The 15,771-nt window shown below is 39.4% G+C and overlaps 1 protein-coding gene across 1 annotated transcript in view; it reads left to right on the forward strand.

The window, feature by feature from the left end:
- CPE (carboxypeptidase E) overlaps positions 1 to 15,771 on the forward strand; it is a 119,540-nt gene that overhangs the window by 86,955 nt on the left and 16,814 nt on the right. The window contains exon 3 of the mRNA NM_001873.4: positions 1,726 to 1,893. Within this exon, the coding sequence (NP_001864.1) occupies positions 1,726 to 1,893 (168 nt within the window). The remainder of the gene's footprint in view (positions 1 to 1,725; positions 1,894 to 15,771) is intronic.

Raw genomic sequence — 15,771 nt, forward strand, 5'->3', positions numbered from 1 at the left:
ATAAATATCTCTTTATATTATTAACATTTAAAATATTATTCATCGAACATATTTTCAAAATACTTATGACAAGTACAGTGATGCATCTCTTAATAATGGGGAAGCATTCTGAGAAATGCAATGTTGGGTGATTTTGTCATTTTGTGAACATTCTAGAGTGCACCTACATAAACCTGCATGGTGTAGCCTACTACACACCTAGGCTATGTGATATAGCCCATGGTTCCTAGGCTACAAGTCTGTACAGCATGTTACTGTACTGAATACTGTAGGCAACTGCAACACACTAGTAACTATTTGTGTATCTAAACATAGAAAAGGTACAGTGAAAATACAGCATAAAAGATAAAAACAGTACCTTTGGACAGGGCTTTTACCATGAATGGAGCCAGAAGTTGCTCTGGGTGAGTCAATGAGTGAGTGGTGAGTGAATGTGAAGGCCTAGGACATTACTGTACACTACTATAGAATTTATAAACACTGTACACTCAGGTTACACTAAATTTATAAAAACTATTTTTCTTCCTGCAGTAATAAATTAAACTTACCTTACTGTAACTTTCTTTTTTTTTTGAGATGGAGTCTCACTCTGTCACCAGGATGGAGTGCAATGGCATGATCTCGGCTCACTGCACACTCCGACTCCCTGGTTCAAGCTATTTTCCTGCCTCAGCCTCCCAAGTAGCTGGGATTACAGGCACGTGCCATCATGCCCAGCTAATTTTTTATATTTTTATTAGAGACGGGGTTTCATCATGTTGGCCAGGATGGTCTTGATCTCCTGACCTCATGATCCACCCACCTTGGCCTCTCAAAGTGCTGGGATTACAGGCGTGAGCCACTGCACCTGGCCACCTTACTGTAACTTTTTTACTTTATAAACTTTTAAACTTTAAAAACCTTTTGGACTCTTTGTAATAACACTTAGATTGAAACACACAACACATTGTACAGCTGTCCAAAAATCTTTTCTGTCTTTATATCTTTATTCTACAAGCTTTTTTCTATTTTTAAAACTTTTTTAAAGCATTTTAATGGTTTCTTAGTTTTTCAAATGTTTTGTTAAATATAAGACACAGGCTGTGTGCAGCAGCTTATATCTATAATCCCAGTGCTTTGGGAGGCCCAGAGGAGAAGATTGCTTAAGGCCAGGAGTTTGAGACCAGCCTGAGCAACATAGCGAGACCCTGTCTTTACCAAAAATAAAAAACTTAGCCTAGCATGATTGTGCACATGTGTAGTCCCAGTGCTTTGGGAGGCCAAGGAGGGAGGATCACTTGAACCCAGGAGTTTGAGGTTACAGTTAGCTGTGATTATGCCACTGCACCCAAGCCTGGGCAACAGAGTGAGACCCTGTCTCTTAGAAAAAAGAAAAAGAAACTAAGACACAAACACACATATCGGCCTAGGCCTACACAGGGTCAGGATCATCAAAATGTCACTAGGCAATAGGAATTTTTCACCTCCATTATAGTCTTATGGGATCACTGCTGTATAGTCTGTCAGTCGTGGTAAGAAATGTCATTATGCGGCCCATCACAGTACTTTAAATCTGATACCTTCATGTTTATATAAGTAAAGTAGTGAAAATGCTGACATGGGAGGGCATTGTTGAAGTAAATAATCTTAATAGTTATTTTAAAGAGCATTGATAGGGACCTTAAATAGAAAGTGACATAATAATAAGCAACTAATGATTTTTCTCTTTGACTTTTTTTTTTTTAGCCTGGTGAACTCAAGGACTGGTTTGTGGGTCGAAGCAATGCCCAGGGAATAGATCTGAACCGGAACTTTCCAGACCTGGATAGGATAGTGTACGTGAATGAGAAAGAAGGTGGTCCAAATAATCATCTGTTGAAAAATATGAAGAAAATTGTGGATCAAAACACAAAGGTAGTGACCACGGGATAGTCTTCTTGGGTTCGTCTCTAGCCTAAGGAAATATGTTCCAATATCTTCATCATCATGAAGGACAGAGGAGTAACATCACAGCTTGTATGGGGTGGTTAACTGTGGCTTTAAGTCAAGGCTGGAAGGGCTGGTGCCATGAAATTTGTCCTGGCCCCTAGAATTGGGCCGTAGGTGGAGAGGAGTTGGAGGTGCAGATATAGGGAGGAACCCAGTTGTAGGTTTCTTAGAAAATCACCATGGCCTTCTCAGAGACCCTTTATTAGCTCATTTGATCAGCTCCTCCTGCCATATTACCCTGTTGCTCCTTTTCTCTTTTCCAGAACTTTCTCCTCCCTTGCTTTACAAAACTCTACTTTCTCCTACCTCTTCTACTGTCTTTCAAATCACTACTCAGTTTTTTTCCCTGTTTCTTCTACCTGGGCATAAATGCTGGCCATTTTCAGGGTCTCATCTGATACCGTTATTTGCTTCCCTGGGCTTCCCTCCTTACCTGTACTTTCAGTGTTGTCTGTTACACAAGGTCTCCCAGATCCGTGCCTCTAACTCCAGACCTTCCACAGAGATTTATGTCTCTGTTTTACTAGCTAACTTGGGTTCCTTTAACTGGTGGAACTTGATATCTCAAGCTCAGGTTGTCCAGAAACAAATATTTTCCCTTAGAACCACTATTCTTTCATTTATCCCAATCATCAAAGCTTTTGATTTTTCCATCTCTGTCACCGCTCACCAGTTACCACCTCTCAGCGATTTGATCTCTCTGACACCTCTTCCATTTCCCTTCTTCTGCAAACTCATTCCCCTGCCTCAGCTGAGATCCCCACGGTCTCCTGCTGTAACTGGCACAGTGGCCTCCTACTTGTGTTTCATGTCCAGCCTCTCCCAACTCTATTCTATCTTCTCAAATTCTCAATCTTCCAGAGTGACCTCACACACAAATTATTGCTCTTTTGCTTAAAAAACCTTAGCAGCTCTCCACTGCCCAGAAGATAAAGTGAAAACTTAATGTGATGGTTAAGTATGGAGACTCTAGAGGTAACCACCTTGGTGTAAATCATGGCTTCATACTTGCTGTGTGAACTTTGTAAAGTTATTTGACCTCTCTGTGCTTCAGGTTCTTCATCTGTAATATGGAAGTGATAATATCTACCTCATAGGATAAGGATTGAATGAGTTAATACATATAAAGTACTTGAAGCCAGGACCTGGAACTTTTATTACCATTTCAGTGTAATTTTTTGGTACTCTCTGTTATGTAGCTCAGGGCTAGGTGGACACATTTACATATCCACTAAACATTTGGTGCATCTTTGAACCAATATTGTCATCAGTCACTTGGAGGACAAATTGAGCCCATCTTGGAGGAAAGGTGAAGAACTGCTGTCAGCAGCCCTCTATTCCTTCTCTATTGTTCTGGGTATTTCTGCTTTCATATGTCCCCTACATGTAGTGTCTTTCCTAAGTGAGAGCTCGCAAAGTACCATTTCTCCATTTCATTCTAGTTGCTGGGTCATTCCAGCAGCTCTTGGCCCCTGGAAGCTGCCGGCTGGTTTATTCCTTAAGCTGGCTTCGATACCCTATAGACTCAACTCATACCAACTCTTTTGTGCTCCTAAACATACCATTTTCTAACAATTTTATGTCTTCAGATGAGTTGCTGCTCCAACTGTCTAGAATTCTCTTGTCTTTCCTTCCATGCCACTCCCTCTGTGAAGTCATCCTCTACTCTTCAAGACAGATTCTTTTTTCACATGTTCTTCATCTATACTTCCAGTATGGGCTTACTGTTACATCCAGCTTTATGTATGTTATTTGTTTATACACCTGTTTTCCCCTTTGATTCTAGAATTTGATCACTTGATTGTAAGAATTACGATTAATATTTGATTATGACAGGCAGTAGGCTGAGGGCCTGTTATGAATAAACACAATCCAGCTCAGCAAACAAATCACAATATCTGAAAAAGAGGGCCACTGCAAGTAAGCAGACAGGAATCCAGACAAGTGTTCATCATGGGGTTGGGATGCTGGATGAAGGATCCAGGAGACAGGGAGCCTTAGATTATTGGTTTAAACTTTTAAAAACTCTCCTGCCTATATATGGGATTCATTGCAGAAACATGGGCTGAGCCTACAGGTGGGGGCTGGTCTTCTTAGTGGTGGCAAATCCATACAGGTCTTCAGCAACCTCAATTCTTGCCTCCTCAGAAGAATTCGACCAAGAGGCATAAGGCAGAGTGAGAGACTAAAGCAAGTTTTAGAGCAGGAGTGAAAGTTTATTAAAAAGTTTAGAGCATGAATGAAAGGAGGTAAAGTACACTTGGAAGAGGGCCAAGCAGGCAACTTGAGAGATCAAGTGCACTGTTTGACCTTTGACTTGGGGTTTTCTATGTTGGCATGCTTACAAGGGAGCAGGAGGTTGTGTGTCTTTTCCCCTGATTCTTCCCTTGGGGTGGGCTGTCCACATGCACAGTAGCCTCCTAGCACTTGGTAGGCACTGTATTCACAGTGTGTTTATCGAAGTTGTATGCATGCTCTCTTGAGTTGTTCTTCCCTTACCAGTTGAGTGTTCCTACTAAGTCACATACCAGTTAATCCGTGCCATTTTGCCTCTTAGTATGCTTAAGCCCACTTGCCCAACTCCTGCCGTCTTATCAGGAAGCCGATCACCAGTTTTAGGCTTTTCTGTCTGTTGAGGGACTGCCTTTCCCTGGCACTTGCTGCAACCAATTATTATGTTACAGAGGCAGTTTAACAACCGCTTGACCATCACCTGATGGTTGCCTGACATTCCTGGTGGTTGGAGGGCCCTCTCTTGTCCTGCTCATGTCTGACTACCTACCTACCATAACATTTCCCCCCTCAAGAATCCAAGACCTCAATTCTTTGGGAAAAATGGATAAAGGTCAGTCTTCTGTAACTGCTTCCTACTGATAGAGGGGTGGTGGTGGTTGTTTTGTGGGTCTTCACCTCTTGCTAGCTGTCAGGGTAGGATGGCTCCATGGGTTGGTAAAAACAGTATCCAGCCAGGCTGGAGGGAGAAAGGGGTGGAATTAAGCCTCTGTCATGTCTTGTTGATGGGAAGTCTAGGGGTCCTCTGTAGAAGGGTGACTCTTGAATACTGACATGATGGTGTCTCTCACTGAGGATCATCTGGAGCTTGATGGCCTGAAGGCAAGAGGAGACGAATTAGTTTATTAGATTTAGAAGAATGTCAAAATGAAATAAGGGAGTGAGGACAACTCCAAAAAATCCTGACGCTGCCAACACACTCAGGTAACTGGTGGCTATTTTCGTGCCTGCTAAGACTTGTGTGGATGGGGTTACAAGCCAATTCCAATGTGTTCCCAGAATTAGAATATTGATCCAGATTTTTACATTACCCATTCCTCTTGTTTCTTCTGAGCTGTGGCCAGAGATCACTGGTTGGTTCACAGGAATAAACAGGGTTAGTCTAAATTGCAGACAAAAACTCAAAAACAACTGCTGAGAATAGAATCTAATACCAAGTTATTAGATTATAGTCTGTTATGTTCTTGAAACATAACTTTTCTCTCTCCAGTCCTCATTTTTATTAAAAACAAATCATGATAGGACTGATTTGTTTGCAAAATAAGCATTAGTCCTATCATACTTGGCCTGGTTATTTGCATAAAGCACAGCAAGAATAATTATTTGCCATATAGGCTCCTTTTTAAATTGGCTTTGATGAAACTTCATTCCATAAGGTATTTCAGATAAGACGTTTTAAATGCCTTGAGCCCAGCCATGGGTTTCTGCCATCAAATACCTGTATGAATTGGGTAAATTCCTCTCCTCTTGAGGTCCTAAATAACCTGGGGCTCCTAGGCCTGTCAGAAAGTGACATTCTTTACTCCCCATGGATCAGGAACCCTGTACAGGGACTGTGTAGACAAGGTATGAGACCAGTTTTCCCAAGGGGTTTTTATTGGCTCTATAAGTCAAATTTGATTCCTTAAAGGAGAGCATGCCATTCCAGTCAAACCCTTGGTAAAATAACCAGTTTCTCCAATTGTGCCTTGTTGCAAAAGAAAACAGATTACTATTGCACTTATGCAAATAACTGTATTGCCATTAGTTAAGAATACCCACAAATAGTTTCCAAATTCTGGAGAAATCAGGTAGAGAGAAATATGCTCCAAATTTTGTTTACAGGAGTACTTATTTTTAAAAGCTGTAAATAGCTCAAAAGAAAGTTTTCTTGACTTTGAAAAACAAAGGATCAGCAATGTTTTAAGCAAAAAGTCATAAAAGGATTATTTTAGTCTTCTTTTAGTTCAGTCCATGCAGTTAACTCCTGTTCTGCCTGGTATTTGTGAACATTTCAGCTCTCCATGAGAGTCCTGAAAGTTCTTTCTCTATTCTAATGTTACAATCTTTAAAGTTATCAGCAACCTGCATTCAAGAGTGCCTGCCAGAGTCCTATAGCTGATTATAAAGGCCACCTTTTAAAGAGGATTAAAACAAGACAACAATTGTGAATGAGAAAAAGTCTTAGGGCAGCCACAGTCAAAGACACAGTTGCCAAGAAAATTTGTTATTTCTGTGGCACACAATTATGTAGCATAACAGTTATAATTATTACTGACAATGTATACTAAGTTATATCAGAATTATAGGAGCTTTGTATAATTTTGGAACACATACAAATAACACATTTATGAAGAGTAGATCAATGCTTTACTAAAAGTCTGTTGTGCTTTTCAATTTGTGGAAAAACTGAACAATAGTTCTTTAACTTTAGCCAATATGATTAGGCATAGAATTTTTTTTATCAGATTGATCTTTCACAAACCTTCCACAACTTGCTCAAACCTTCAGCTTTATCCTATCTAACTTTAAAAAATCCTTTAACTCTCTAAACTAGGTCAAAAAAATCCACATTTTTATGCCTTTTTATATAATCTTTTACTAAAACCACATTCTACTTTCCTTACATGCCTTGCATATAAAAGTTTTCCAGTAGTCTCAAGAACATGTTACACTGTTAACTCTTAGCAACTTTTACTTTTGGTGAAAAACCTGCTAAGTAAGTGATTCTGACTATGTACTAGGTTTGCAGCTTAGGACACTAGACAGAAATGCAGAAAAGGTTTGACTCTTTCTAGCATCTAGGGGGCATGGGTAACTCTGTATGTCCCCGGGCCTCACGTAGCTTTAAAGGCAGCAAGTTGTACAGTTAGGAGTCAAAGTAGCAGTTTATGAAGCATTTAGTAAGCCTAATAACTTTTAAAACTGTATAACTTTTTAAAAATAAATTCTCTTTCACAGATCTTTTCACAACTTACACAGACCATCTATGACATGCTTGGACTTTCTGATTTGTCCCAAACATTCCTCTTTTTAAACAACCAGTCATTTAATTTAGGACAAGAATTTACCATACAAGATCCTTTCTCATATAAAACTTCTGTTCTTTATAATCTGCCTTACCAAAAATACCTCCTCTTTCTCTTTATAGCTTTTGAATTATATTAAAGTCATTTTCTTTCTGTTAGGAAGTTAAGGTTTGTACTGCATGTTGCTGTGTGAGGATTGTGAAGGGGGAGCAGAGAAGAATGAGGTTATCTGCATACTGCAGAAGTTATCCCCCCTCAAGAGATTGCTCAGTTAGATTTTTGCTGGGGCTTGTCTGAATAAATGTGGGCTATTTCTGTATCCTTGAGGTAGGACTGACTAGGTTGAAGTTATTAGTTAAACATTTAGGTAACTTTCCAGAAGAAATAGAGCTATTAGAGGGAAAGATGAATTTAGAGACTGGGTAAATATTAATCAGGCACCCATCTTGGAAAGCATATTTTTGCCCAAAAGAGTGTGAATCTTTTCTTTTGGAAGGAGGAGGTGCCATTTGCCCCATTATGTGGCAGAATTTGGAGGAGAGTTCAGAGAAGGAGATTAGCACAGAGTAGGCAGCTCTTAAATCCCAAAGGGAAATTTATAATTTTACTCCTCCAGGAGTTTCTCTTAGCTTTGTCTTGTCAATGACTTGGAAGCCAGCCAGAGCAGAGAGCCCCTTCAGCTCAAGGCCATTAGGCATTGGGACTCTGTCCCAGAGCCCTTTGGCCCTCAGGGCATCCAATTTCCAGTAGCTAAGCTTGTGGCAGAGGGGGCAAGCTGTGCTAGGCTTCCTCTCATTTGTCCCATTGGGGCAGTTTGCCTTCCAGTGGCCTGGCTTCCCACACCAATGGCAGTTACCTGAAGGAGTGTTTTTAGGGAAACCTGGATGGGGGCTGGAGAGCTTATAAAGCAGCCAATAATTGAGCATTCCTCTTGTTTCTGCATTTTTCCTTCTCCTTATCTCTATCCTCCTTATTATGCTCTCAGTTATAAAAGACTGAGGAGGCTGATTTGAGGGTTTCCTGCATAAGGGCAATGGGTTCCAAGGCTGACTTTTGTATTTTCTCCCAGTTCATTTTTAGGCCAAACGATATTACAAAGGAAAGCTAGTTTTGTTTTGTTTTAAGCTTTGGGGGAGTCAAATGTTTCTGTTTTTGGGGATGCATCTGAGGAGTATATCCTGTGGTATAGAGACATGGTTACCCATCTGTAAAGAGGGAACAGAGGAGAAAAAAAAGGAAAAAGGAAAACAAAGGCATCCCCTCTTACTTTCCTGTTATCCTAGATAAGCATCTCCCATTCATCCTTAGGGTTCTGGAATGAACCAGTCTTACCGTGTACCCATTACCTTGGTTCCATCTCATCACAATTACCCACTTGAGAACAGAAGAGATACTAGAGTAAACAGTGGGACCCTTGTTCATCCTTGGGACTCTGGAATAACCGTTCTTACTGTATACCCCTAACCTTTCCTTCATCTGTTTTAATGGTAATCTGTTAACCTAGAACCAACCTTCATGTCTGTCATATGGGTCTTTTGTGACTGCAACCTTGGGCTGGCCTATGTCCTTGTCTCCATGACATTATGGTGACTCTCACTCAGAGCATTGTAGCAACAAAATGATTGTCTCTTTTTTCAGATTTCCTTCCCATGTTCTTTAAGTAGATGAGAAGCCTGTTTTTCAGCTAACTGCCACAAGATGGCTGGATTTCCCTCCCTTCGAATATGACCTTGAAGGTCTTGGTGCATGTTAAGAAGGGCATGGAAGTGATTAGAGAAATGGAGGCTATGGGAGGAAGTGAGATAAATACTCATGGAAAGCTTTCATATGCGAGTGAAACGGCAACATTTATTTGCCCTCTTAACATAAAGTAGTAACCTCCGGAGGACTTGAGGCTTGAGGTAAGAACTCACAAGTGGCAAAGGAAGAATTTTCCCTCCTTTCAAAGGAGTGTTAACTCAAAAAAAGCAAATAAGTGAGATCCTTAAAGGGCCACAGTGAGGACCTATGCAGACACACAAAGTACTTAAAAAGTCACTGGAAAACAGCCCTGGAGGGTAACAGGGACAAAAAGTATACAATAAATCATAAGGGCTGGGATTCCAATTTGTATCTATCCTGGCAATGCGCCACCAGACAGGGGATGAGTTGGAGGTCATCTGAGCTGGTAGGGTAAAAACAAGTATAAACCTCAGGGGATATTTGCAAGGGAGCCTATGTCTTTGCTGCTGCACAAATGCAGCAAGAGCCATGGGCACACAAATAACAAGGAGTGTGTGTTTAAGAAGTTACATGGCATGTGACGTGAAAGCAAACAAGAGGCAGGCTTGCCCCTGAGGCGGATGGTCTAGCTGGTGTACAAGGCCATTTGAGAACACGAAGGAGAATAGGAGGTGAATAGGTGGAGTAAAAAGGAGAATAGGCAGTGGTTTTGGGGAAATAGCCAACTTTAGTTGAAAAAGCAGAGGAAACCCCAGACATTGCAGTGTTAGGCTTTAGTTCTACCACTCTTGTAAGCCTCCTGTCCAGGAGGGCCATTAGTGTCTGAGTTCTACTCGGTGTGAACTCCGAGTTCCTTCCACCCCTCCGAGCCACCCATTAGAGTGAACTGAAAGATCAGCTAGCGGGAGCAGAGCCATTGTGGCTGAGAAGAATTGTTCTAGTGGTTGGTCAGTAAGCAGGAGAGCAAAAAGAGAGAAGGAAACTGCATACAGGGGTTGAGTACCTCCAGCCAAAGAAGGTGAGGCATAGAGGTCCTTTACCACTGGGAAACATATCCAAGTCATGTGGCACAAAGGTATGTTACCAGTGATGAATCCATATGGGTTTGCAGCAACCTCAATTCTTGCTTCCTCAGAAGAAAGAATTAAATTGAGAAACATAAGGCAGAGCGAGAGACTGAGGCAGGTTTTAGAGTAGCAGTGAAAGTGTATTAAAAAGCTTTAGAGCAGGAATAAAAGGAAGTAAAGTACACTTGGAAGTAGGCCAAGCGGGCAACTTGAGAGATCAAGTGCCCTGTTTGACCTTTTGACTTGGGGCTTTATAGGTTGGTATGCTTATGCTTCTGGGGGGTTGTGTCCCTTTTCCCCTGATTCTTCCCTTGGGGTGGGCTGTCTGCATGTGCAGTGGCCTGGCAACACTTGGGAGGGGCGCTTGCACAGTGTGTTTACTGAAGCTGCGCACATGCTCACTTGAGGCGTTCGTCCCTTACCAGTCCAGTGTTCCTAGAGGAAGGTCATATACCAGTTAAACTCTGCCATTTTGCCTCTCGGTGCGCATGTATGAACCCATTTGCCCAGCTCCTGAGATCTTATTGGGAAGCTGCTGATCACCAGTTTCAGGTTTTTTAATCTATTGGGAGACTGCCTTTCGCTGGCGCCTGCTGCAACCAATTATTATTTTAGAGAGGCAGTTTAACAACCTCCCGCCCATCACCTAATGTTTGCCTGACATTCCTGGTGTTGGGAGAAGGCCCTCTCCTGCCCTGCTCATGTCTGACTAGCTACCTACTGCAACAGTCTGAGACAAAGGCTACCAAAGGCTGAGGACACTGGCAGAACCTGATAAGTGAGTGACTTAAGCTTTCCTGCTTCTGAGTCATGGATACACGTCACTGTCTCAGCCTGAAAATTATCTTTCATGGGAGAGGGGGAGCCAGAAAGGCGGCAGGCTGGGGTAACCCCAGGTGAAAGAGGGCAGTCCTGTGTGGTAAACCACGAGGGCTGAGACAGAAATGGAAAACTTCTGGAAGCGGAGTCCCCATATTAGCCTACAAGCTTTCCCCATTGCTTGCATTGACTTGCTTGTGCTGTCTTTGTTAAATCTGAGAAATGAAGAAAATAATTCCTTCCACCTATCATAGAAGAATGGTGAAATCAACTCAGGTTGACAGGATATTTGATTGTCAACTTTGTGCAAGCACCATTATTTCTAGCCAGCACTACCTTCTTCTCCAGCTGAACCTGAATATTTGCATAATCTCTAGATTAGATGTTTTTGTATTTCTAGCTTAGGCAATACTTATTTAAAAGAGGCATGTTCATGGTACTATTTTTTAATAAGAGCTTTTGTTTAAAACAAACTCAGTGTGACTTCTTTTCATAAAGGTAAATTAAAGAAAAATACATGAAAATGAAAGATTAGTCCCTTTTTGGAACATAAGCAAGATTTGTTTACTTTACACTAAATCTTTAGTAAACTTACTTCATAATCATGGGGTGATATTGCCTATGTCTGGTTCATCACCTTTTTCCATTTTTGTCTGTAAGTGTGAGACAGTGTTTTGACCCAGCTTGGTACAAAATATATAGTAGGCAGTTCATTAATGTTATTATACATTCCTCTTCCCTCTTCCCCTTCTCAGCCTAATATCTGTATTTGTATCCCTTATAGAGGTTCTTAAATGTCAAGATTTATTCTTCTGTTTGGTGGAACAGGGAATCAAATCAGATTAATAGAAAATAGAAATGCAGATTCCTCCTCCTTTGTATAGCTGTGAGAAAAAAAAAAAAGAAATTCATATTCCCACATAAGCTGATCCAGGCCTGGGGTGTGTGTGCTTCAGGAGGGGGTGGTGGGAAGGAAGTTCATTCTTGCAAAGCCCTCCAGATGCTGGAGGTAGCTGAGACACATCCACTCGCTCGAGATCCATGCTCTCCTTGTTCTTCTGAACTTCTCTGAATAAAAAGCTCTCTCTTGCTCTCCCAGACTTCCTTCTCTAAGTCGTTTGTCATCGGCTCTTGAGCTCTTCAGCCTGGTCACCTCCACTGTTATCTGGGCTCAGTACATGAGCCTTGGCCTGAAAGCAGAGTCAATTAAAATATACCCAGCCATTTATTAAGTTTACCCTGACTTTAATAGCTAGAGTTGTGAAGAAAACTGAATAAATAGAGCTTCAACATAATTTAAGAACCAAAGACATCTAATTATAGAACATCATATTTGAGCTGTATTTATAATCTTTAAATGGAAAGTTTAAAGAAAGGCCACAATTGTTTCTAGTTTCTATTAAAGGCTCAATTTTAAAGGTACTCCAAAGTCTTCTCTGTGGATCAGTTAAATATATAATTATAGTACACAGGGGTCTCAGGATTTAGTCAGACTAAAAGATTCTGTTAATAGTCAAAGGGAAATTTAGTTTAATTTATCAAATTGTAGAATTTGCTTGCTTTTGAACATACTGGTAACATGCATATAAGCAATTGTGTATGATGTAAGAACTAGTAATAGGCTAAACCTGATAGCTTCACACAACTTTGTGTATTTAGGGCTGTATCTTTCAATTTGTTTCAAGAACAGTTTCTTTTAAAAGTTTTTTATTGCAAAATTCATATTTTATTACAAAAATTAAAACATGCAAATAAGGAGAAAGAAGAATCCATTACCCTACAATCTTCAGTGAACACCATTAACATTTTGATACGTACCTTTCAAAATTATTTTTTATGGCTGTATCAACCTGTAAATATATGGTGCATACTGTGCAAGCCATTCTGAACACTTTTAGGTGGATAACAAACACAGGAATACAGTCTGCCTTGGCATGGCTTTGCCTCCTAACTCCCACTAAAACCAACCCTCCCTCTCAGAGAGTATTTTCCTTACCCCCGACAGATGGGCCATGGGTACTTCCAACTTCTTTATTTTTACTACTCTTTTCTCTTTTCTTCTCCTACCCCAATTCGTCCCTGGACTTGGTGAAGTTCCACCTCCTTCCTGAAGTCCTCAATGATTCTCCAAACCATGGTGATTTTGCCTCTTCTGAACTTATTGAAATGTGAATATTTGTCAATATCTGCCATTGGGTTAAAGAAAATAGAGGGAATGAGAGATGTACAAAGAAGAGGAGGACTGAAAATAAATTCAATAGTAAAAGAAAAACTTTTGAATAGAATATTATAGAAGAGTGTGTTAAACTCATCTCATATAATATTCATGTCATGTTAGCAATTGGATATAAAAAACATAAATTCACTTAAAAAAGCATATGCATTATAGAGTATTTTGATTTCATCTCCCATATTAGTTATTTTTAGGTTGATTTAAATCAAAATATAATAAGAGTGTATTTCAGATCCCTGTGGAAAGAATGCATTATTGAATACATGGAATTGAGACAAATCCATCTCATAAATAACAGCATAGATCAAAATAAATTCTAGACACTACAATTTAAGTTTAAAAAGTATGAAACTAGAAAACTTTCGTAAGGATGTAATACTTAGAGGGGGATAGAACTTTCTAAATTTCTTGTATAGACACTAGCACATAGTGGTCACTTAATACTTATTGAACGAATGAATGAAATGGAAAAGCAAAGAGACCATAAAGAAAAGATCAATAGGTTTGATGTTATGTACTTAACATAAATATCTTAATGCTCTGTATTTTAATTACAAAATTTGAAAGGCACATGACACACTTAGAAAATATTTATAGTGTGTAGGTCAGAGCTAATTTTTTTTACTAAACAACTCTTGCAAGTCAAAAAGAAAAGCTATGCATTTCTCCCAGCACTTTGGGAGGCCGAGGCGGGCGGATCACGAGGTCAGGAGATCGAGACCATCCTGGCTAACACAGTGAAAACTCGTCTCTACTAAAAATACAAAAAAATTAGCCAGGTGTGGTGGCAGGCACCTGTAGTCCCAGCTACGCGGGAGGCGGAGGCAGGAGAATGGCGTGAACCCGGGAGGCGGAGCTTGCAGTGAACCAAGATCGCTCCACTGCACTCTAGCCTGGGTGACAGAGTGAGACTCCGCCTCAAAAAAAAAAAAAAAAAGCTATGCATTTCAATAGAAAAATTAGTTAAACCATATAAATATGTCACAGAAGAATAAATAGAAATAATCTCTAAATATAAAAAACTTCTAGTTTTATTAGTTAATTAAAATAATGCAAACTTTAAAAATTCTATTGTCATTAATCAAAGTGACACACTTTAAAACACATAATAATTCCATTGTTCTTAAAAAGATTAGAGATGGAAGGTTTATTATACTGTTGCTGGTTATATTTCTGTACCTTACAGGAATGCAGTTTGGAATACATTTTTAAATGTAAACAGTTTTAGCTAATATAGATTTTAACTTAAAACATTTTTAGCTAAAAACGTGCTTAGCTTTTGGTCAAGTCATTCAATTTCTAGGGATTTCTCTAAGGAAAGTACAGATTTGGACAAATGGTAGCTACAAAGGTGTTCATAGTATTTTTAATTTTTAAAATATAAACATCCCAGTATCACCTCTTGGAGATTACTAGTACTAGTGTAGTGGCTGTGTAGCCGGCCTGGCTGGGCTTGAGACCAGCCTCTGCCAGTACCAGCTGAGTGGCCTCATGCTGTTCCCTAACTTCTCTACATCTCAGTTTACTCATCTGTAGGGTGGGGGAAAATGTAGTCCCTATTTCATAGAGTAAATGGGAGAATTGAATGTCTGACACAGAAAGTGTTTAATAAGTATTAGCTATCATTTTATTAGTATTTAAGAATGGTATATCCAGACATTGGCTGCCACTCAGCCATTAAAATATCATTTTAGAAGGGTATTTAATAACATGAAAAGGTGTTCATTATCTGTTTTCAAGCAAAAAAAGCAGTATATAAAATGGCATATAAATGATCACATTTAAAAATTATATAAATACATTGGGAAAAGACTGAAAAAGAGATATATACAAATGTTAGTAGTGGATATCTTTAGGTGGTAAAATTATGGGTAATTTTAATTTTCTTCTTTGTTCTTGTCTGTCTCTACATTTTCTACAATGGATATATATATATATATATATATTTTTTTTTTTTTTTTTAGCAAAAATAAGATCTACCAACCAAATGAAAAATAATAAAAACAACCTCCTACTCTAAATCACACTTTTCCACAGTTAACAGTAGCTTATGTGAAAATAGGATAATTTTAATAGACTAAAGCTGATACACTAGAAACAGCGTGAGCCTTAGGGTTTCACTGACTGGATGTGAACTCTTAGCTGTGTGAACTTAGATATGCTATTTAACACACCCAACTTTCAGATTCCTCCTTGTGAAATGGGTATGAATATCTTTGCATATCCAATACGAATGTTGAAGTGCAGTAAAATAGTTCATGTCAGAACTATTCATAAACAGAGCAGAGCTATACAAATATGAGATCTTATAACCATCAAACCCTACTGATGCCATTAGATTTTCTGTCCTAAAGAACAGCATGGATCACGTTGCCAGTAAAATCTTTTCTTTTCATCAGAGAAGCACTTGGGGTTTGAGAGTCTTCCTAGTTGCTATTAAAAACTCATTGCATAAAAGTATCAAGCTTTTGGCTCCACATTATTTCTTTGGTATACATTTCTTTTTTCCTTTGTTTTGCTTCCAAGATATGAGGGGCAGTGAATCATTCTAAAGACTTAACATGAATTCTTGAAACTTGCCTTTATTTTAAAATTTAAGATGACCATTCCAAAGTAAACATATTTTACAGTCCACTCTGAAAGAGACTCAACCTAATATTCT

Source organism: Homo sapiens, chromosome 4 (assembly GCF_000001405.40).
Source record: "Homo sapiens chromosome 4, GRCh38.p14 Primary Assembly".
NCBI classification, from domain to species: Eukaryota; Metazoa; Chordata; class Mammalia; order Primates; family Hominidae; genus Homo; species Homo sapiens.